The sequence below is a fragment of the Homo sapiens genome, chromosome 8 (assembly GCF_000001405.40).
Source record: "Homo sapiens chromosome 8, GRCh38.p14 Primary Assembly".
Classification (NCBI taxonomy): domain Eukaryota; kingdom Metazoa; phylum Chordata; class Mammalia; order Primates; family Hominidae; genus Homo; species Homo sapiens.
The window spans coordinates 71,695,261-71,719,207 of NC_000008.11; the positions used below are offsets into that span (position 1 = coordinate 71,695,261).

Genomic DNA, 23,947 nt, shown 5'->3' on the forward strand with positions numbered 1-23,947 from the left:
TTCCTCATCCTTCTTCCCCTTGTCTGTAACCACAATTCTTACTCATCTCTCAAACCAGATCTTACATATTTCCTCCCTTACCCATTGGCATAGTTCTCTTCCTGCAGGCTCCTCATCAAATCTTGAACCCAAGCCTCTTCCTGAACCAACATTGAGATGGGGAATTTTTTCTGCTCAACTGGTGCTCCTTAAAAGCAAGAGTTGTGTTATTTACATTTTGATCTCCTGATGCCTTGTACTATATTGATATGCACTGACATGTAATGAGCACTAAAAAGAGCTTCCATAAATGACTGGTAGTTTCTTAGCCATCCTCCAATGAGAGGGGTTGGTTTTATTGTAGAACTGGTTGTAGAGGGCAGTAAGAACAGATGTAAGTCCTGTGTGACAAGAATGGGGAGAACTGTGAGAGGCTAAAAGACAAATTGATCTAGAGACAAATATTTCAACTTGTTCAAGATATACATAAGTCAACAGCATGTTCTTGGGTCTGATTTCAGCAAAATTGCTTTTGATAGCTAAGCAATTACTATTCTGGGCATATTTAGTGGCCAGGGTTAGGAAAAAGAAAGGTTACACTGTAGTGAAATCTTATGAGTTAAGATCTTCTGTTAAGTAGTACATGTTTATAATTCTGATTTTCATGCATAGTTTAATATCGCCTTCATTAATCTTATCAGGTTATTTTCCTTGACCACCTGCTTGCTGTAAAAGAACTCTAAATGGACAATGTATTTCCATATCCCAAAAAATGATGTTTTTTTGGACATAAGGTATATGTTTCAATATTACTTCACTGATTGGAAAATGGTAATATCAAATAAGACCTAAACAAAATAAATGTGAATGATCCCTAATTTATAATAAGTATCCTGCATGTTATTATGAAGATCAACTGACAGACAAGTATTTATTTAAAATTTTTATTGACTGTGTTTTATCCACTTTTGAAGGGTCCAAGGTGCTCAGAATATCTGCTGTTAAGTCTGGGTGTCTCTTTTAAACAGAAATTGCATAGTACAGACCTCATCCAAAGTAGCTGTATGGATGAGATAAATTGAGTACAGAAGAGTTTATATTTCTAAGCTATTCTGTTCTGTTGTATACACTAAACATGACAAGTTTAAGTAGATCCAAAGTGGATAATACTTTTAATCTTCTGGCAATTTAAGTAGAAACTTTATAGCCTGTGTTTTGATTTCAAGCAGAAAATAACATACAATATAGATTTAATTTACATTTATTACCATAAAAGCACATATACTTTATCATCCCATTTTCTTTATTATATGGAATAAAAATTTAGAAAACACTTTTTTGAGTACTGTTGTATCAGGGAACCTGCCCCCGATAGTCATGTAGTTTCTTTTCTATTTTCCCTTAGCGTCGGCCGGGTTGAGAAATAAGGGGACAGAGTACAAAAGAGAGAAATTTTAAAGCTGGGCATCTGGGGGAGACATCACATGTCAGTAGGTTCTGTGATGCCCCACAAGCCGTAAAACCAGAAAGTTTTTATTAGGGATTTTCAAAAGGGGAGGGAGTGTACGAATAGGGTGTGGGTCACAGAGATCACGTACATCACAAGGTAATAGACTATCACAAGGCAAATGGAGGCAGGGCGAGATCACAGGACCACAGGACCAGGGCGAAATTAAAATTGCTAATGAAGTTTCAGGCACCATTGTCATTGATAACATCTTATCAGGAGGCAGGGTTTGAGAGTAACCGGTCTGACCAAAATTTATTAGGTGGGAATTTCCTCGTCCTAATAAGCCTGGGAGCCCTACAGGAGACTGGGGCTTATTTCATCCCTACAGTTTCAACCACAGAAGATGGCCACACCCAAAGGGGCCATTTTAGAGGCCTACCCTCAGGGGCACATTCTCTTTCTCAGGGATGTTCCTTGCTGAGAAAAAGAATTCAGTGATATTTCCATTTGCTTTTGAAAGAAGAGAAATATGGCTCTGTTCTGCCAGGCTCATTGGCGGCCAGAGTTTAAGGTTATCTCTCTTGTTCCCTGAACATTGCTGTTACCCTGTTCTTTTTTCAAGGTGCCCAGATTTCATATTGTTCAAACACACATGCTCTACAATTTGTGCAGTTAACGCAATCATCATGGGGTCCTGAGGCAACATACATCCTCCTCAGTTTATGAGATGACAGGATTAAGAGATTAAAGTAAAGACAGACATAGGAAATCACAAGGGTATTGATTGGGGAAGTGATAAGTGTCCATGAAATCTTCACAATTTATGTTCAGAGATTGCAGTAAAGACAGGCATAAGAAATTATAAAAGTATTAATTTGGGGAACTAATAAATGTCCATGAAATCTTCACAATCCATGTTTTTCTGCTATGGCTTCAGCCGGTCCCTCCGTTTGGGGTCCCTGACTTCCCGTGACACTGTTGGTAAGTATTAATACATACATGCCATAGATGACTTAATGTATATTGTACAACTATCTTCTTTCAGGTGGCTAATTATATAGATAACTAAGTTGTCTATATCCCTAAAATAAAGTTATTCATAGGTATGTGATAAACATTTCATCTGTCTCCTACTCTTATATATATGGGCTTAACTGAATTGAATTTAAAAGAAGTCAGCTTAAAACATATGAAGGAATTGGGAGACGTGATGTGATTTGCTGATGTTTAAATCTTGTGGACCAATTACACAAAGAATCAGTCAACACAGGGTTGTCGATATTGACAATCTGTCTACAGACCATGTGTAGAAATGTAGAAATGAACACAAAGGCATGAACACAAATCTCTGACATTGTATAATTTTAAACTGCAATTAATTACTAGCAGCTATGCAAAAAATAATTTACATTAGGATATAATAAATTTATTGAAAAATTAAGTATACATGCATTTTTTTGCATAAATGCAAAAAGAAATTGAGTGAAAAAAACAGTGCAAAAAGTCTAAGTAAGAGTTTAAGGTGAGGACAGTCATGGAGAGGACCATTTCAATATATCACTACTGTTATTCTTTTGTCAGTTATATATGAAAAACACATACAAAAGAATGGAAAAGGAAGGTAATAACAATATTATTAGATGATAGTTGATGTTTTTATTTAATATATGCTATTATCTAACATATGCTATAATTTAATGACATAAAGGGTCAATATATACTCTGGCCCATATACTGGGTGACTTGGAGGCTCCCATTTTTGAGCGGAGCACAAAACATAAGGTGCTGTAGCAGCTCTAGGCTGTGGTATAATCAGCCTCCTGCCTTAGACCATACAATTTTAAAGTCCCTATGGTGTTGGAGAAACCAGCAGTTGGAAAAGATGCAGTATGAAGCTCTTCTAAATACTTTTTTTCTTGGCAAAGAAAATGGCAAAGATATGTGCAAATCTAAACAAACATTAACTGCATACACAATAAGAATAATGTTCAATATGGGAGGATTAAGAAAATATGTGAGAACGAAAAGATTTATGTAATAACATGTATGCTGGGATGTAGATGGTCAGAGTTAACCCATCCTAAAATCTTTGCATTATTTGGTGCGAGGAAAAAGATTTTGATTAATTTTATATTAAAGTCAGTGTTCTTGTTAGAATTTTAAGAATAACCACTGAAAAAATTGTACTAGAATATGAAACTTGTATACTAATGCAGCAAAAAAATGAAATACAAAATGTAAAAACTCAACCTACATCAGAGAAGAACTTAAAAGTAGGATAGATTTAAAAACTCCAGTAGAAATAAATCAAAATATGTCAGTAATCATAATATATTATTTTGAGATACATATATACACATTATAAAACTATGAAGTAAAGCAAAGGAATGATAAAATTGCATGATAATATTTTCTTGGAAGAGACAAAGTTGAATGCTATCAAGGAAGGGTACTGAAAGAGATTCAAATATTATGAGAAATCTTTTCTCTTAAGGTAGGTAGTATATACATAGATTTTTTTCTTTCTTTTTTTGTATATAGATATATACAGAAATTTCTTTATTCTCGTGTTTTAAAATATTTCATCATTTTACAATGTATGCATATATCATAACATCACATTATATCTCATAAATATATAAAATGAATATTTGCCAACTAATAATAAAATAAAATTTTAAAGATAGATGAAATGCAAATGGTCTAAGCACATTAATTAAAAAAACTTTGTCAGAAAAAATATTTTATAATAAATATTAAAAGAGAAAAACTACAGATACACTTCAGAGAAAAATAATCATGCAAAGATTATTAGAGCATGGACAGCTCATTTTATAAGGAAAGCATTCAGAATTACAGTTGGGGAAAAAAGAATATTTTTAGTCCTGAATGAAGTTATTAAACTTGACAAGGTTTGTTTGTTTTTGGAGTTGCTGTTTTAGATCTTTCTTAGCTTTTCTTCCAGTGTTTATTTATACTTACTGTCAGGAACTTATTCTATAAATCTTATTGAATCATCATCTTAAGGCATCTTATAACATTTTATTGTTTGTAAGAAGAGCAACTGAAATATCACTCATTATTCTTTCAAATCAAATCAGTGGCATTTACTCTACTCTCTTAGCTAAAGCTCTCCTGGCCTCTGTTGCCGAGTGAATCCTGAGGCTGCTGCAGCTGGGAGAATTGAGGCATAACCATACCAGGCAATTATTGTTTCCAATTAAATGCCATCTCTTTCTTCACAGAGAGGCAAAAGTGTCCACATAAATATCCCTTGATTTGTTTCTGTCTTTTTTTTCTGCTCTGTCCATTGCCTACGTGGCTTCCACCTTCCCTAAGTTAAGCAAAATTGGAAGTCCTTGCTGTAGTTTGGGCTTCTCATGGTTTGATGGGATAAGTCTTCTTGGCCTTCTGTGGTCACCAAGTGTATAACTAGTGTCTGAAGAAACAGTGATGGTGAGAGGCCTCATCAAAAGTAGTTCTGCTAATAATCCCAGCACTTTGGGAGGCCAAGTTTGGAGGATTTTTTTGAGCCCAGGAGTTTGAAACCAGCTTGGGCAACACAGCAAAGCCCCATTTCTTAAAAAAAAAATAGCTGGGTGTGGTGGTCTGCACCTGTAGTCCCAGCTACTTGGGAGGCTGAGGTGAGAGGATCTATTGAGCTCAGGATTTTGAGGCTGCAATGAGCTATGATGGTGCCACTGCACTCCAGCCTGCATGACAGAGTAAGACTCTGTCTTTAAAAAGAAAGAAACAAAGTTTTCAATGCAGCTGATTTTGACAGTTAAAGGAACAGTTCTCCAAGGTGAAACCCTTGAGGATAAATGATACCAGTAGCAGATAAGTGGCAGAAGTGGAACCTAAACCTACATAGATGAGGCCCAGGTCTAAATGATGCACAGATGTAATGCTGCCCAGGAAATCACCTGAGACTTTGTGAGGTTCACTTATCTCTCTGAATGGTTACTGCTCTGAAAGTACCTCCCTTTGTCTTCCTGTGCTTTGAGGAAAAACTTTCTCCTCTTGGTGATGCATTCTAATTCCTCATACCTCATGTGTAATAATTAAGTGTGTGAATCTCAGGGCAGCCCCTTCTGAATTGTGGGCCCAACTTGTCTAAACGTCAGTTTCCTATCAGTAACATGGGCCAGAGATAGCACTTATGATATTGGGTGCTGGGAAGAATTTAAAAAGATAATGCAGGTAGAGTTCACAATAAACATAGGTTAGTCTCATCACTAACCTGTTAGAGCAGTGTTTTCAAACTTCTTATATAAAATATATAAAGATGAATTTTAAAGAAAAACAATTCTGACAGACTCCAAGTTTTTATTTATATTATTTTTATACTTCTCAAATAGGTACAAAAATAAAAGTAGATATAAATTCTGTATTTCTATAGCTGTTAAACATCTATAAATAAAAATGTGTTTATAGATTAAATTCAAAGCCCCAAAAACAGTGCAATTCAAATAGATGATATTAATTTAATGTTGTTTGTTCAAAATGGTACTGGGTGCCATAGCACCAATTCTTTTGACATGTTTTGAGTTTGGCATGCTTTAATTACCATATGCTGCATGATACCTCAGTTCTTTCATATTTAAAATCTGAATTATTTTTAAACTGCATGTCTGAACACCGCTTTAGCATACAACTTTTCTTTTTTTTCTCATTAGCCTGAAGTTTAGTTTTAATACAATGGGTACTGATGCTGTTGTACAAATGAAGGCAAACAGGAACACAGACACTGAGTACTGCAAATGCCCAGTGAAAGGTGGTCCTCTAAGTGATCCAGAAAGTTCTTCATTAACTTTCTCTATAATCAGCTAAGTCGATGAAAACACAGAATTAAAATATTTTCATGGAAATTTTGCAAATGTCCTAGATGAGCTACATGGATCTCAGTTGAGAAGCTTTAATATTTCTTTGTTAAAACTGGATAATTATTTCTGAACATGCCAGAGAATAGTGTTCAGATAACAGTTAAGCAATTTTCCTGGTAAATTCACTAAGATCTACCAAGTGGAAAGCATCATTTTCTGTTCTATACCTTTTTACTGAAGGCAAGAGATATTTCCTTCCCAGGGTAATAATAGCTTTTCTTGGCATAAACATTAATCTGAGAACTTAGAAACTTTGACTGGGAATTCTGAATACTAATGGTCGTGGGTGTAAAATGAAGTAATTTATGTGTCATAGCTAATTAAGATTACAGTATTTCAAGGCACTTAAAATTCAAGTTCAAAGAAATTTTAATGCTTTGGTCTGATAGGTGGTGTCAAGGAGCCCTTGAAAGGGCTTCCTGCCTACAGCAATAGGCGTGCAGCAGCTCATTTACCACATCCTATAATTAAAGTAGAATAAAACTTCACTCATATTTGTTTTGGATCCTAAATATTTCAAAGAAAATTTAGTCATTACTTGCAAGTTTATTTAGAAATGGAAAGCTTTTGTAGGGTTTGTTTTATAATCTTTTCATTAGTAAATGGCTTTCATTGATTTGAGCTATTTTTCTGATGTAGGTGAAGTATGAAGTTATGAGGAGAAAGGAACAGAGGACAACCACACAGAGAAAGTGTAGCTTTATCTACTAGAGCTGAAGACATTCAAATTTATGATCCAACAATTCTACTCTGAAGTGCAGTGGTGTATATACTGCAACAATGTGTACTCATGTGCCCTGAGAACTAGATATGAAAAAACCTTACAGCAATATGCATAATAGTAAAAAAAAAAAAAAAAAACTGGAAACAACAAAAATGTTCATTGACCATATACAATGATAAATGTGGTATACTCGTAGCATGGAAAACTACACAACATTGAAAATGAACAAACTAAAACTGTACACAGCAACATGAACGAATTCCACAGATAATATTGAGTGAAAGATACCAGACACCAAATAATATCCCATATGATTTCATTTACATTAAATGTTTTTTTTTTGAGATGGAGTCTCGCTCTGTTGCCCAGGCTGGAGTGCAGTGGCACAATCTTGGCTCACTGCAACCTCTGCTTTTCAGGTTCAAGCTATTCTCCCACTTCAGCCTCCCCAGTAGCTGGGACTACAGGTACCTGCCACCACGCCCAACTAAGTTTTGTGTTTTCAGTAGATATGGGGGTTTCACCATGTTGGCCAGGCTGGTCTTGAACTCCTGGCCTCAAGTGATCTGCCCACCACGGCCTTCCAAAGTGCTGGGATTACAGGTGTGAGCCACCGTGCCCGGCCTCATTTATATTAAATTTAACACAGGCAGACTAATCCATTATGCTAGAAGTCAGGAGAGTGGTTACTTTGAGGAAGAGAGGACTGACTGATCAGGCTTGAGGGGATTCTAAAGTGGTGGCAGGGTTTGGTTTCTTGACCAATATTACTGATATTCATTATGGAGCTCCTTAAACACTTTAAATTTTACTTGTGTAATGGGATTATGTCTACTTCAAGCGGTTATTGTAAGGATTAAATAACAATGTATGTAAAGTGCTGTGCAGTGTACCATGTCTAATAAATACTCCAACAGCTGTAATTGTCATTGCTATCAATATCACTGTTAAGCTGTATATATAATAAGTTTTGAAAACTTACATAGTTAACCATATTCAATCTCCATTTTGTGTTAGACAGTTCTCAAACCCTGAGGTGCTTTCCTGGAAACAGTCCTATTGAAAGCAGCTGCTCCATTATTGTAAGGATGTTGTTGAGGGTATTGGTGTTATAGCACATTTGTTCTCTTGGGAAGGACCTACCGAAGAAATATCTTTCTGATCTCAATTTGAAATTAATTGTACTCTCCTGAGCAACAGATTTTGATTATTGTCCAAGTTTAATATTACACACATTGTGAATCCTGTAGGGAAATGTATCTTTCTTCTTGGCTTTCTATTTGGATACTGAAAATCTTAGAATCAAATCTGTGCTCTAGCTTTATCAAATGTATATAGACTTACACCATGCATTTTCTGGATAAACTGCGTTTTCCTTATTTACTTGTTTTTGTTTGTTTTTGTCTCATGTTTATGTAAGCTACCTTAAATTCTTTTGGGAGCAAGCAGAAGGCTTAAGCACATAAACGAAAAACAAATAAATGACATCATGTTGGATTTAGTTATGGAAATATCTGCCAAGACAGTAGTATTCACCAAGTTGAAACTCTTAAAAAATGTGCTGAATAAATGAATACATGAGCGATTTGGCATTTGGGGATGGCTCCATTAAAAACAAAATAGAACTTGAGCAAAACTTTGGAAAAATTGAAGCCTGTGTAATGAATAAGGGACTGGGGCATATTGAAAATGATAGTATAAAATGGAGTGAAATCAGCATGGCACTGTGATCCACAGAACATCCTATTCAGAGTACAGAAGTGTTGGCGATAGACGTCAATTGATGACTGTGATGGGGGACACTTTCTTCTTCACAATAAAATGAAGAAGGGACAAATCCAAGTAGAAAAATTAATAGCCTTAGTAACAAATTACACAGAAAGTGCAGAAAAGGAGAAATCAGGAGTCTTTTCAAGATTGTTTTTGGCTTAACATAGAAATGAAAATTTGAGGGACAGCCAACTAAAGAAGCCATACTCAAACAGCTCATGAGACACAGTTACAAGTCCAGGCAATTAATTTCTTCATTGTAAATCACAAATTTAGAATTTGTGAATTCTGATGATGTAGTTTTGTATTTCGTACATTAATAAATCAGTGGAATGTAATATTTCTCCTTTGGGATTGATTGCAAGCAAAGGTCAGTTAGGACTTGAACAATGGATGGAGCAGAAGGGATAAAAAATTGCATCATTTTATCATGGTTTTAGTACTTTTATAACAAAACATAAATGCATGGTTTGTATCAACAAATGAATAAAAGAATTGTAAAAAGGTCTACATTTAGCATTTTAACTTATTTATTCAAAACTATTAGTATAAAGTATATGCAAGGCACAGTGGTAGACAAGATGGACATAATCTTTGGCCTATTAAAGCTTATATTTTTGAGAAACACACCAAAATAAATGCCTGTATCTGAAAATTCATGCAAAATTTCAAATAAGGCATTAGAAGATACTGATAAAATGGCTTCCCTTCTCTCTTATGCTATGGGAAATTATTGCTCACAAAATACAAGTTGCTATCTTTTCATGACTTTTGTGTAGATTTAAAAATCAAATTATTATTTACAAAGCAGCATTACTGGAGTAATGAATACTTCCTCCTTATTGATTTTTCTGAAAACTGCCTTCCTTATTTCATTCACACTTCATCTATAATTGGGAAAGGGAAACTACTAAATTGATAAATTCAACAAAGGGGGAATATATCTTGAATACGAACTGTTATTACTGTTGACAGTCCAATAACAGAGACACCATAGAAAAAATTATGGGAGTTCTTGAAATTGGCTGAAGCAATTTTCAGCACACTATATTTCATTCTTAGACAAAACCAAAGCCTTATTTCTTACACATTTTTTAGAAGTCAACATCTAACAGGCAGTGGAAACTTCTCCAAAATTACTTGGCATTACCCAATTCTATCAACTGTTTAAAACTCAGGTATTTCAGTATTGGGACCTCTAATTGGGATGTCTATCCATTTAACAATTCTAATGAGTTTATTTTACTGGATATGTGCCTGACAATAACATTCCATAGTTGCTAAAATGTCTTATCATTCAAACTCCTTGTTGGGGTGCCTGGTAGCTACACACTATTTGGGAACTGCAGATTTGCTGGGCAGATAGGGAGACCTTAATTAGGGAAGCTTGGGTATACTCTGGTTTTCAGCTTTCCCACCTTTCATTTGATTTTTTCATCATCTTAGTTTTTCCTTTGTGAGGCAATTTCCTGAGGAAAAACTGGGGTTACTGCCTTTAGTGTCTGCTCACCCCCAACAAGCTTTTCCTTTCCTGTTACTGTTTTTTCTTCCTTTGATTTTTTTTTTTTCTCTGAAACATACGTATCAATGAGTTCTTTCACTTGATAATCCTGAGAGTCCTGGATCCGAACTGCAACTTGAGGCAGAGATTTGGGGGATCTATTTTTACGTACATTATCTTCATTTTGAAGGTGAAGAAGCCAACTGTAGGTGAATTTTCCAGGACTGAGCAGAGTTTAGAGTTCAGAAATCATACACAAATAGCCATCAACAGTGAATCCTGTCCTCTTGATTCCTATTCTGACTTCTGCAAGTTTTCCAACTATGGCCTTTACCTCTACTTCCCTCTACACATCACCATTGTAACCCATGTGTATTTGAGGTCAAATCTGGCCAAGAGTACCCTATAAGTTGAGAAAGTAATCCTAATGTTCTGAGCACAAAATAGTGTTCTTTGTAGCATAAAAAAGGACCTTGACACACTATTAAATTTTAAATTATTTTAGTACATGTTTTTATATTTTATTTCATTTTTGAAAATAGAATATTTGTTCAAAGATATTTGTCAAGATAAAACTTTTCTTATGATAATTAAATTACAAAAAGGATTGCATTATGTGGAAAATTATTGTTTTCTTTTTTTTTTGAATGTATGGTACCTTCCAGCCTGTTACTCGTGCAAATACTCCAAAACAACCCCAAAGCATGCACATCATCCAGTATATTATTGACACAGTGTATGTTCCACAAGTGCTTGCTTAGTCTTGAAGAGGTAAAGGAAATACCCTATTGGCCAGCTTAAAGAGAGAGGTTGCCTTTCAATGGTTGGGAATGATTTTTGTTCATGTCACTATCACACTTGAACAGACCTTTGATGGGGCTATACAGATCACAGAATAAAGTTCAAATCTGACTCTTACTTAGCTCTCCAATGTAACTCTTTGCCCCATCTGCCTCCATCTATCCCCACTCTGCACCACAAGTGGCAAATTTGCAGGCTGGTGGGCTTGCCAGGTAACACCCATGGGTGAACTGGTCCAGGGAAATGAACATATGCTTGTTGTTTGGGTGATGGCTGTGGAGAACTGGGAAGGTCCACACTGTCTAAGGGGTGCTGCTACTCAGCTCCACCTAGCGTTGCTCTGCTGGAAGGAGGGGGTCTGATGTTGCCAACTCCCCTGCTTTACATTAAGAAAAGGCAGAAAGAGGCTGGGCGCAGTGGCTCAGGCCTGTAATCTCAGCACTTTGGGAGGCCGAGGAGGGCAGATCACGACGTCAGGAGTTCAAGACCATCCTGGCCAACATGACAAAACCTCATCTCTACTAAAAATACAAAAATTAGCTGGGCATGGTGGTGTGTGCCTGTAGTCCCAGCTACTTGGGAGGCTAAGGCAGGAGAATAGCTTGAACCCGGGAGGTGGAGGTTGCAGTGAGCCGAGATCATGCCACTGCACTCCAGCCTGGGCAACAGAACGAGACTCTCAAAAAAATAAAAAAAGAAAAAAAGGCAGAAAGATGGCTACTGAATCTTGAAATGTCCTGATTTTCTAATATTTTGTAGGGTATACTTTTATTCACTCCACTGGTCATATTGATGAGCCTTTTCCCGTCCATTGGCTCGTAACTGTTGTCCTCCCCAAATCCGTACTCTAAGCAACCCTGAATATTTGCAGTTTTCTCAGAATCTGGCATATTTTCAGCCCCCTCAGCTTTCTACCCCACTTTGGCTTACGCTGCTCTCTGTCTGAATGTCCTCTCCACTCATCCTCTTAGCAAAGTTCTATCCACCCATTTTTAAACACTGACCAAAGACAGTCACTAAAAGGCCTTTTTCAACCTCCCTTCCACCTGATGTCCAACAGCCCAGCGAAGCTATCCTTTTTCTCGTTTCACTTAACATTGCTCATACAGTGTAGGAGGTACAATATTGAAATGTATTTAGCTGTGACTGATAGCCATTTCCCCCACTAGCATGTAAGCCACATTCTTATTCCTCTTCATATCCTTGATGTTCTACACAGGGAGCAGCACCAAGAATGGCCAGTGCTTGTTGAAACGGCACATAGAATAGAGTTCTTGCAAACTTTTTTACCTGCACCTTCACCAAGAATCATTTTTAACTTGTACCAGAACAAGAAAACCCAGAAATGTTTCATGATGACATAGAACCCAAAGTTCAGATTTCAGAATTATGCATGCTCAGAGACTGTATCTTTGGAACCAGTGTGGCCACCTGCTGCTGTCTCCTGCAGAAGTGAAGGCACAAGTGGTCTTGCTCTCAGGGGCCTCACATTCTAGAGGCAAGCTGGAGCAGTTCATTTCAATACTGACTATCACTCAAGTGCCTGCTCAGCTAGTTCTGAAAGTAGATCAGCCAACATTCTCCTTTTCCATCATTCTAGCTTTTAGATGCAGAACCTTAGAAACAGAAGGTGGTGAGATGTTAAGCAGTTTATCCAAAGACACACAGCAAGGTAGTGTCAGACGTGCCTGTAGAGATCATTTCTTAGCACTGAATGCAGTAAAAGTTACTCCAAACATCTTGGTTTCCTTTCTCTTGAACTTGGTTGATGACTTCCTATTAGTACACACCCTTTACACAAAACTGGCACACACAAAACACGCCACATGCATGAGTGTTTTTAAGAATTAGGGGTCAGCCACTCTTACCAGATTCAAATTTGTTGTATCTTTTAATCATTTGGCTTGGTGCCTTAAGGTTTCAAGGTGAGCTTGGCTTTCAAGCTACAGCAGAAGGTGTGGAGCCAGAAAGCCCCTGCCTGGAGCCCTGCAGTGTGTCCTTCCTGGCCGCTCTTCCTTCCGGCTCTCAACTCCTTCCTGACAACCCTCCACGGATCTGCTTTCCTTCTGGAGTTTCCACATTCTAGCACTTTCCTAACCTGGACAAACCCCATACACTGCTTCCTGTCCACATCACCATACCCTTAATCTCATGTCCCAGGCCTTTAGTTTCCTTCAGCAGACCACAGGGTTGCAGGTGAAAATGGGAGGGCGTGGCTCCTCCCCACAAGTTTTTGTACTTACCAGGGCCTCCTGCTGGCTATGTCTAAGGGTAAAGTAGTGAGTAATGCACACCTATTGGGGGATTTTCATCACACAGGCAAAGGGGCATTTGAGGCCTCTGATGCACATTCTGTATCCAGCCACTCCCATGCCATGCCATCCTTTGAAATAAATTAGACGGTATATCAGGCAGCCAGGACTGTCATAACAAAGTACCACAGACTGGGTGCCTTAACCAGAAATCAACTTCTCACAGTTCTGGAGGCTAGAAGTGAAAGACTGAGGTGTTGGCAGGGTTGCTTTCTTCTGAGGCATCTCTCCTTGGCTTGCAGATGACTGTCTTCTCTCTGTGTCTTCATTTTGTACCTGCCAGTGTCCTAATCCTGTCTTATTATAAGAACACCAGTCTTCTTGGGTTAGAGCCCACCCTAATGACCTCATTTTAACTTAATTATCTCCTTTAAAACCCTATCTCCAAATATAATCGTATTCTGTGGTACTGGGAGTTAGGGCTTCAACAGATAAATATGTGGCAGCAGGCAGGGATGGCAGGGATGTTGTAATTTAGCTGATAGCAGATGGGAAGCCCCAACTCCGAAATTCACCTACCCCTTCTATTCCACTTCATATTATGGTAACATAGGGTTGACCAAGAAGGACGTTGGGTCACTAGGTGACAAGATGGGTTTCATGCGCCTTTGCAGTCCCAGACATATGCACACGTATGCCTCAGAAACCACCCTGCTCCTTCCACACCATGTTCTATGGGACTAAAACCACAGGGCTGGCCTACACAGCAAGTGGCGATGAAACTTGACTTACACTTGTTTTACATCATGGCACCTCTCTAAGAAATTTTTTTTCTAGAATAAAAAGTGATACAAATCAGTTAATTGAAGTTTGTGTTAACACAATTCTTTTTGAAATAATTCTATGGGCATCTGTGTTCTAGAATCTGCATTAGTGTTAGTTCTATTGAATAATCCTCCTATTGGGATCTGTTGTAAAAATTTTCTTCTAAAGTAAGTTATCTGCAATAAATGTTCATGCACCTTCCCTTAAAAATATAATTAATATCCTCTTTACCAACAATAAAAGTTATATTGCTATTATCCAGAACTATTTTCCTTTATGTCTTTAAAAGCTTTAAATGTTTAATTGTATTTGTAATATTAATAGTATAACCTTGTTTAACCCATTTGGATTTCCCCCCTCAAGTACACCCATAACTAAATATGAACAGGTTAATATCTATATTCAACCATCTTTACAATTAAAGAAAAAAATTGATATGTATGATTATTTACTGTTTCTGCAATGGTTTGGTAACATACGATACAGTTCATTCCCATGGGTTTCTAAGTCATCATGGTTGTCAGCTGTTGAATATCCAATGAGATGTTACACTGATGAACAACCAATATAGTCTCTTCATTAACATATATGCAAATCTCATCCAGGTAAATAGGTAGCACGATCTCCTCCAGGTGAAATAGATACAGTTACCTGGCTGTAAAAAGGACAGAAACATAATTTTAGTTTTCCTCTCCTATGCTTTTCTATAGTTTTCAATAGAACAATATGTTTTACTTTTAGGATCAGAAATAAAACCCAGAAAAATGTGTTTTACAAGAGAATAAAACTATATAAATGGTCAGTCAAACTTAATGGCCAAATAAAATGAATGATTTAGCATATTATTCTATGGTCTACTTGTTTTTTAAGTGGAAAAAACTTCATAAGGCCTTAAAATGGTTGAATGAGATTTTATTGAGATAGATGATGAAAAATATTTAAACATTAACAAACATACATGAGGCATCGTGGGAAAAGAAAATGTATCCACAAAAAGTCCCACAGGTTTTCATTGTTTGCACGAAGGCAACTGTGCTCTCGTTCAAAGAAAATTGTTTCAGGACATGCTTTATGATGTCTTGTCAACAAATTATACTTACCAGATTTATAGGCCAAAGTCCCAGTTTTCTCATTTATAGGACGTGGATAAGTTCTGACTCTTCCTTTCCCTCCATATTTGTTAGATAGAGCCACACCAGTTCCTCAGGGACAAAAACATGAGACAGAAATAGAAGGTTCTAGAAACTATCTAATAGTGTTAGGAAACATTAACTTTGTGTAGACCTGACTTAGTGAGAAAGTGTTTTCACTATGTAGAAGAATCCTGAGAATGGTAGAAACATTCATTCGTTCATTCAATAAACATTTTTAAGGTGGAAAAAAGGAAAAACAAATTTTGTCACTTGTAAAATATGTTCAGATCCAACCTTCACTAACTCCATTGTGTAATTATATAGTAGGACCTTGGAAAAGGATCAGGAATAAGACAAGGTCTCTGTCCTTGTGGAGCCTACAGTCCAGTGGACAAGACAGACAATAAATAACGAAGCAATAGGTAAAATAATTACCCAATTAATTCAAACAACAGCATAATCACAAAACTATTTTACAATTAGTTTTGCAAAAAGTAATAGTGTTTAGTGCTATGAAGTAGATTGGGTTAAGCGTAAACATTATTTATTGTAGGTCTTACATAGGTTGGGGTGTTTATGTCTTACTCCTTTAATATAGGAATTGAACATTCAATCAGAAATTCTAATAATACAAAATTAGCTGCAATATGAATAACTAATTACCTAGAAAGAAGCACTTTTTAGTATTAGTGACATCATTTTTTTCTTTAGACTCCTCTCATCTTTAATCACATACGTATACACGATCATTTTAGTTTTAGTTTCTGCAGCATCTTTGACCTTGTTGGAAATGTCAGAAAATTGCTGAACCTTTACTCAGCCCCTACAGAGCCATTATAAACCTATTTTGTGAAAGTAACCAGTAGAAGGATGGGTGGAAAAAAGAAAAACAAATTTTGTCACTCGTGAAATATGCCCAGATACAACCTTCACTAACCCCATTGTGTAAAACATTCAGAATATTATTAAGAGAAAGCTTACAAGTGTAAATATACTTATTCTCAATGAAATCAACACCACCTGACTGATTTGTAACTACTCCCTTAATGCTGCCATAAACTTTATTGCAGTGAAAACACTGGTTCTACAGATTGCTTTCCTCTTCCTCAGGATGTGTTTGACCTTTGTGGCACTGCCACTATAAATCTCATGGCCCAACAACCCCTTGTCTGCAAGTGATTTCAAGCACTATCATAAAAATGAAACAGACAGACTTAATTTGAGTTCCAGACTTGAGGAAACTCAACTAAAATATTAGCATAATTTCACTGAGGACAGAGGAAATTGTTAAAATATGTGTATTAGAGAGTGTCTGCAATTCAATCCATCTTTTTTCTGGCTCTTGGGTGCCACCCAGTGATTAGCTTAGCGGCACGTTGCCCAAGGGGTCTGTGGTGCACAGGCAGCCCTGGTCACAGGAGAGCTGGGACAAGGATATTAGGGGTAGACATCGCAGTACTAAATTAAATTTAGAAATAAAAATTAAATTAAAAATCTGTTCAGAATCTACGTTCCATCCAGAAAAACCTGATCATTGACAATGTGCTCCTTCCAGACATCCAAATATTGCAAAGAATCTGTTCTGTGAATAACGAAAATTTCATCTTTAGAGCACCGGCTTGGTCTACAGCCACACAGTGAGGACGAGCAGCAGGGAAGTCACCAGCACAGTTCAGCTGTCCTTTCCTGATCTTCTTCCCTTCCCCTGTGCCACACCACCTAGTTCCTTTCGCAAACCATAGGCAGAGCTTGAAAAACTCTGCTTTATAACCACAAGGGCGGATGGCTGACTTGACCAGGTTATTTTTTCATCTCTCAAACCTACTAGATTGTTTCTTATCCTTATAATTCACAGGGCTGGGCATAAGAACCAACATTCTCTTATGCATCCGATGTTTGTTTTTTGTTGTTTGAGCAAGGTTCTCACATTCCCTTTCTCTCAATAAGTGTGTGACACATTTAGTAACATTTTACCAAAGATTTATGCCATTTTTTGGAGGTGAAGCAATAGATACTCAACCCACTGGGGCTTCTGTTTCCTCTAGAAAAATATAATGAGTGCGTAAAATCATTACATATATAAAATATGTATTATATATATATATATATGGAGAGAGAGAGAGTGAATATGTAACATAATCTACTTATTTTATCATCTATCTTGTCTCCCCTGAACTGACTTCTTAAAGGTTCCCCCAGGCCATGCCTCGGGGGAGGGGATCGCCCATGAGACACATGAAAGTGAATAGGCTTCCTCAAGCCATGATGTTTTCTCCTTGCTCATATGCTATCATGGTGGTTTCTGAAGGAGGAAGCCAAGAAGACAGATGGTTGGGAAAGAAGAAGGATATGCTCCAAAGGACTAGGAAGGTCCCTATGACTGAGATGGAGGGTAGCTATGGAAGGGGAAACAAGTACCTGTGTGAATCACCCACCTTACTCAGAAAATCCTCTTCCTCCTCCTCCCCACCACTGTGCTCCTCACAGCCCCTTTGTCCTCTTGCTGTGCCCTGGATCCACTACTCGGCTGAGTGAAGCAAATGGGTCAGTGGTGGTGGTGATGGTAGCAGGAGGTCCTGATGTTGACCTAAGGCAGATGGGGACAGCAAGAGCTCATCTCAAAGAGCTGGGAGCCAGCAAGGAGCCCATGGGCGATAGATGCTGGATGGACTTGGAACAGACACAAAGTCACTGCAGAAGAAATACTTAGGCACAGAAGACAGGACTTGGGGTGGCCTGTCACTTAATCCTGCGTGACTTGAAAGGGCTGGGGGATCCTCTGCTCCTGCCCAGCCCATCCACCATTTCCTCCTAGTGGTTTCCATACTGCCTTCCAGAGGGAAGGGGAAGAGAAGGAAACCATGTTTCTAGATCCTTTGATAACATGCTGTCTTCTCTCAGGGAGGCTACTTTGCCAAAAGCAAACAGATGTTTAGTTCTTTACACTGGTTCATTAAAAATGCTATGGGAGCCCCTTCCTGATTCTAATTTCTCATGGTAGTATCGTGATAGGAGGAAGATTACAGTGGTCTATGAGATTATATACTTTGTCCCATTTTAGTTATTTATTGACTGTTGATATACACTAGGCACTGGGCCTATGGCAATGAAAACTCAGAATCTCTAAATGGATGTTATTATTTTCCTCATTTTACAGTCATAGACATGAGGCATAGCAAGATAAGTGCTTGCCTAAGGTCGTATCACTGGTAACTAGCAGCTAGAATCCATCTTCTAGCAATTTGACCCTAGAGCTTGTTAGTAACTGATATGGTTTTCTTGTGCATCCACCCAAATCTCATCTTGAATTGTAGTTCCCATAATCCCTACGAGTTGTAGTTCTGTTCTTGTGATAGCGAGTGAGTTCTCGCGAGATATGATGGTTTTATAAGGAGCTTCCTCCCAACCACTTAGCTCTGCACTTCTCCTTGCTGCCGCCATGAGAAGAAGCACCTGTTTGCTTCCCCTTCTGCCATGATTGTAAGTTTCCTAAGGCCTCCCTAGCCATGCTGAAGTGTGAGTTAATTAAACCTCTTTCCTTTATAAATTATCCAGTCTCGGGTATATTTTTATTAGCAGTATGAAAATGGACTAATAGAGTAACATATCATTTGATACAAAACCCCAAATAGCATATATTATAAACTTTAAAAAAATTACAAAAAAAATTATTTTAGTCTCCATATGGATTAAACAAGCTAACCTAGTCTCAACATTGATTAAATAAATGTTAAATAAGCTAATTTCCATGTTTTAAACACCATTGTTTTTTGGAAATGCATATTGACTTTGTATCAATTTACAAATATTACTTGGGAACACAACCAGCTTGTAAATTGGGTATTAACTGGTATATATGTAAATAATTTACTGGGAAAACTTACCAAAATTTTTACACACCACAAAATCTGATACTTTAAATCTATAATTTCTGAGTTTCATTCCAGCCTTGTTTATTTGCATAAACATTTATGAAGGTTAATTATTTTACTTTATAACTGCTGGCAATCAAACCTTTCTGAAATAGAAGTTTTGGGTTCATGCAATGTTCAAATGAGCACTTCACTGAAACCCCAAGTTTCTGCACTTTAAAGTATGAAAGAAATAACCTTAGTCAGTGAGATTTTTAGCCTAGGCACTAGCAAGTCTCTGCTTCTCCAAGAAACATCCCAGGAACATTTCATTTTTCTCAGGCTTCATCCTGATGCATCCACTAGAATAAACTGGCCTCCAAATCCACTCTTAAGTAATGAATACATCAACATATTGAATGAAATTGTTTTATATTATCAACTGGATGTCAAAAATAATTCATTTGACTAGTGCATAATTATTATTTGTCCCTAAATATAATTGACCAAAATGTCCATTTGCTGGTTGACCATTGGCAAAAGTGGCTCTCCTGGAATGAGACAGAAGATTCAATTATAATTATATGAATAGATGAGGATTTTTCCTGTTTGTTGCAGGAGGAAAGTGTGATTTCAGTCCATCGAAAGAGTTTTAAGAGATTGTTGTACAAACTTTCAAAGGAAAGGCTAGACAAAGCTTTATTTTAATAGCATTTAAATTCGAATTTACTGTGTCAATAGGCCATTGCTGCTACGCTAATTATCTGTAGTATATTGCAACAGGAACTCTAGCAAAGAATGATGTTTACCAGATAGCTGCTGAATGCCACAGCTTGACCTACAATCAAAGACCACTATGATGGTGCCTCAATGCTCCTCTGCAATCTGGAAACAGACCCATGCCTGGGCAGAAGGGAGGCCAGGAATTGGCTCCCTTTGGAGATGATCAGCTCTTAAGAGCCCAGATGGATTGTTGCAAGGCAGTCAAGGATGTTCAGGAAATATAAATTCAATTATCAGCAATGAAGCCCAAAGTTTAGAACTTTGGAATCAGGTGATCCTGACTTCCTGTCCTAGGTCAGCCACTTTATTGCTGCTTTGGAGAGAATATTTACCACCTTTCCAAATATCACCATATCAAAGAAGCCTTCCTTGACCTCCTTTCTCCTTCCTTCCAGTCTCTACTCCTTCTGCTTCATTCTTCTTTAGAGCACTGATCTCAACTGGATATATGCTTTATATATTTGTGTCCTAGCAGTTTCTACCAGTCAAAATGTAAGGTCCATGAGAGCAGGGCCTTTGCTGTGGTCACATAATAAGCACTCAGTAAGTAACTGGTGAATGAATGAGTTTTGGAGAGTCTTAATTTATTCCTCTGTAAAATCTTGTTTTTCAAGATTAGGTGAGCTTTGTTCCTCACACACGGTAGGTACTTTTCTGTGCATTTCTCATGCTGGTTAGAGGGAGAGCAGCTTTGCTTCTGGGCAGGATTCAATCTCATATTCCCTAATGCATGTCCATGCAAACATCAAAACCACAATCATATTCTTTCATGTTTTGTGAATGGCTAGGATGTTCTGTTAGATTAAGTAATTTGTTCATTCAACATGTACTCAGCATATGAAGAAGATACTGATGCTCTGTGAAAATGAATTGGCTTTGTTGTCTGGGGAAATCCCCGAGGTTCCTTGTCTGGTGCTAAGAAGATTAAGGACATGCGGACACACACACAGACTGGGTTTAGGAACGTAAAGTGTAATAGGCAAAAGAAAGGAGAGAGAGAGTAAGCTTCCTCGTGCAGAGAAAGCAGAGCACTCAAGGGGGCTTCAGGGTTTGGGACAAGATGCGGTCTATTTTACAGAGGGGCTTGAGGAGGAGGTGGTATTTGATTTACATAGGGCATAGGGGATCGGTTTGACCAGGTGTCCCATTTACATAGCCCGCGAATCTTTTATTATGTAAATGGAGTTTCCAGCCCAGCGAACAACCGCATACATTGCTACAAAGAAAAGGGAGGAGATGTCCTCCATGTTGGATGTGTGTGGCTTCCAAGTACAGCTGCCAGCATTTACTTATGCAAGCTTCCAGCTTCCTTATCTATGCTTGCAGCTTGATTTTTCAGGCTGCTTTTTATTAGAAAAGAAATGATTTGGGGGCTGCTTTTTATTAAAGGAAATTCCACTGAGAACTCTTTTACGCTTACTAGCTGCCTAAATAATTTCTTACTAAGTCCTATATCAAAGATTCCTTTTCTCTCTAGGTCCTAGAACCTTCATTGTCCCTGAGGTTAGACTGCTCCCGCAGCCAGACCACTGCTTCATCTTGAGTCCAGGTTGAGATACTGCAGCGAGCTTCTACATAAGGGGCCTTCTTATTTTCTATAGCTTCTTGTTGGCATGAAGAATATGCTATTTTGTCTTTTCCTGACTCAGTCAGGGCAAATCTCACTTCTTTCTCGAGCACTTCCATCTAGAAAATTATTTTCCTGAGCAAAAATTACAGCAAAGAATTTAATTTCAACGATAGTGGCACACACCCCTGTAGTTCCATAGTTGTTAGCAAAACCTTTTTTTGTAGTTGAAAGGGGCAAACTTAGTGAATAAAGCAGCAGCTAAGATATGTTCTTGTTTTATACTCTCAGCCTCCCATAAATCTGCAGTGTTAACCAAGCAAGGAATTTGCTTATATAAATCCCAGCAAAATTTTTTTTTCCATTCACATATAGAGAGATGTAGCATCAATTTCTTATAATTGTCTTCACAGTATCCGTAAGTCTGTAGCATTGTCTCAGCTGGCTAATTATTTGCTCCACAAAGGTAAGTTATGATGGTGACAACCGAGGTAAGTTTCTACCCACAAAGTCCTGAAATTCAGTTGATGATGGTCAAAGACAATGTGCCTGGGAATCTGTATGTTGTGGATAAGTGGCCCATGACTTCATTTTAGTATCTTAAGTCTGAGATGGAAGGAGAAACTCTATGAACCACTTTAAACTATTTATCAGAATCACAAATTCCTTCTGCAAAACTCATATGGAGTCTTAATTCACTCTCATGGAAACGAATATGCCTTTGATAAAGTAATGATGCTTTCTGTCTTTCCTTTTAAGCTGAGAAATTCCAGATACCAAGATAATGCAATAGTCACCTTCAGTCAATGCAGTTTGTCTGCAATGGAATTTTTTTGTGGCCATAGTAACTCATGCTTATTATTTGGGATAGCTTTAGCCTCTCTGGCAGTTTCTCCATAAAAAATTTAAGATACATATCTCAAATCTTGAATAATTATGTGACATGGTTTGCCACAGAGATAGAAGAGAGTTTATTTTAATATTAACATGTCCATGACTGTGGTCCAGCATGATCTTGACTTTTTAGTGGCAGATTGATCCAGCGCATTTGTATTTGTCATTGTTCTTTAGAGTTGTGGGTGGTTATGCAGTCAGAAGTCCTTAGTCAAAGATACAGCAGACAGTTTGGGATAATCCAGATACAATTTTTGGTTACTATGAATTTCAAGACAAGGCCTTAGAAGTAATTGTAAAACTTTCTTATTCTGACAAAAATAGTTTTGTCAACCTGTGTTTGGGTCTGTGATTCTAGTCTGTCTGCGATTTCTCTTGAATAATAAGTTACATTCATTTTTCTAGCATTGTGTAGAAAAACATATTTCCAATGCACCAGTGCTACGGCCCTCCTAAATTTACTTGGTAATGTCCAAAGCCATAGATTTTTACATAGAAGACCTTCACTGGACATCAATTTTCATTTATAAATGGTTTTATATTAAAACAAAATTATTACAGAATAGAACCACAATTTAAAAAATATTTTAAATATGAAACATGAGATTTCAAAGAAATTCTGAGCCTGCTGTGCATCACTTCTGGCCATGCTCCAGGCTTGAGATCCATGTGGCCCTCTCTGCCACTGGAGATACTTAGTGGGAAAGGCTGAGGAGCGCTGCTTTATACTAGAGTAGTAGGGAGAAGAAATCTTAATGTGTTCACAGACTTAGAAGTGAATGGCCACTTCACAGTTTAGAAAATTATCATTAGACTGGGCTTGGTGCAGTGCTACACACTCATAGTCCCAGCATTTAGGGAGGCCAAGGCGGGTGGGTTGTTTGAGCTCAGAAGTTGGAGACCAGCCTGGACAAGGTGGTGAAACCATGTCTCCACAAAAATACAAAAATTAGCCAGCTGTGGTGGCATGTGCCTGTAGGCTGAAGTGGGAGGATCCCTTGAGCCAGGGAGGTTGAGGCTGAAGTGAGCCATGATCTTGCCACTGCACTCCAACCCCAGTGACAGAACAAGACCCTGTCTCAAAAAAAGAAGAAAGGAAGGAAGGAGAAAGAAAATAAGAAAATTATAATTAGACTGGCCAGCCCAACATCATGGAATGCTTTTTTTGCTGCAGGCAACAGTGAGGCTCTACAATGGTTGCCTTTTAGGGAAGAAAAATATGGTAGAAATTAAATGGTACCAGAAGGACTTGAAGTGCTTTGTTTGCTTTTGGAGGAGGGAGGTACATCCTGGTTTATCCCTTCCCTTCCCATCTTCAATGAAGCAAATATCAACTGTTCTGGGGCAGTGACTAATAATGTCACTAGTGCCATTTTTATTTTGTAGATTTGTTTTTCCAGTGATATGTCAAAACAATGTAGGACTTCCTAAAATATTTCCATGAGTTTATTTCCAGTTGATGCCACAACATATTTACCCAGTTGTCTTAGTAGAGACCTTGAATTTATCAGAGCCCTAAACCTTCTTGTCT

The 23,947-nt window shown here is 37.7% G+C and overlaps 1 annotated feature.

The window, feature by feature from the left end:
• Nucleotides 1,594-1,888: a silencer, noted in NCBI's record as "tiled region #1735; K562 Repressive non-DNase unmatched - State 24:Quies". NCBI's record gives its function as "represses a minimal TATA promoter and a strong SV40 promoter by Sharpr-MPRA in K562 cells {active_cell/tissue: K562}" and the evidence as "EXISTENCE:reporter gene assay evidence [ECO:0000049][PMID:27701403]".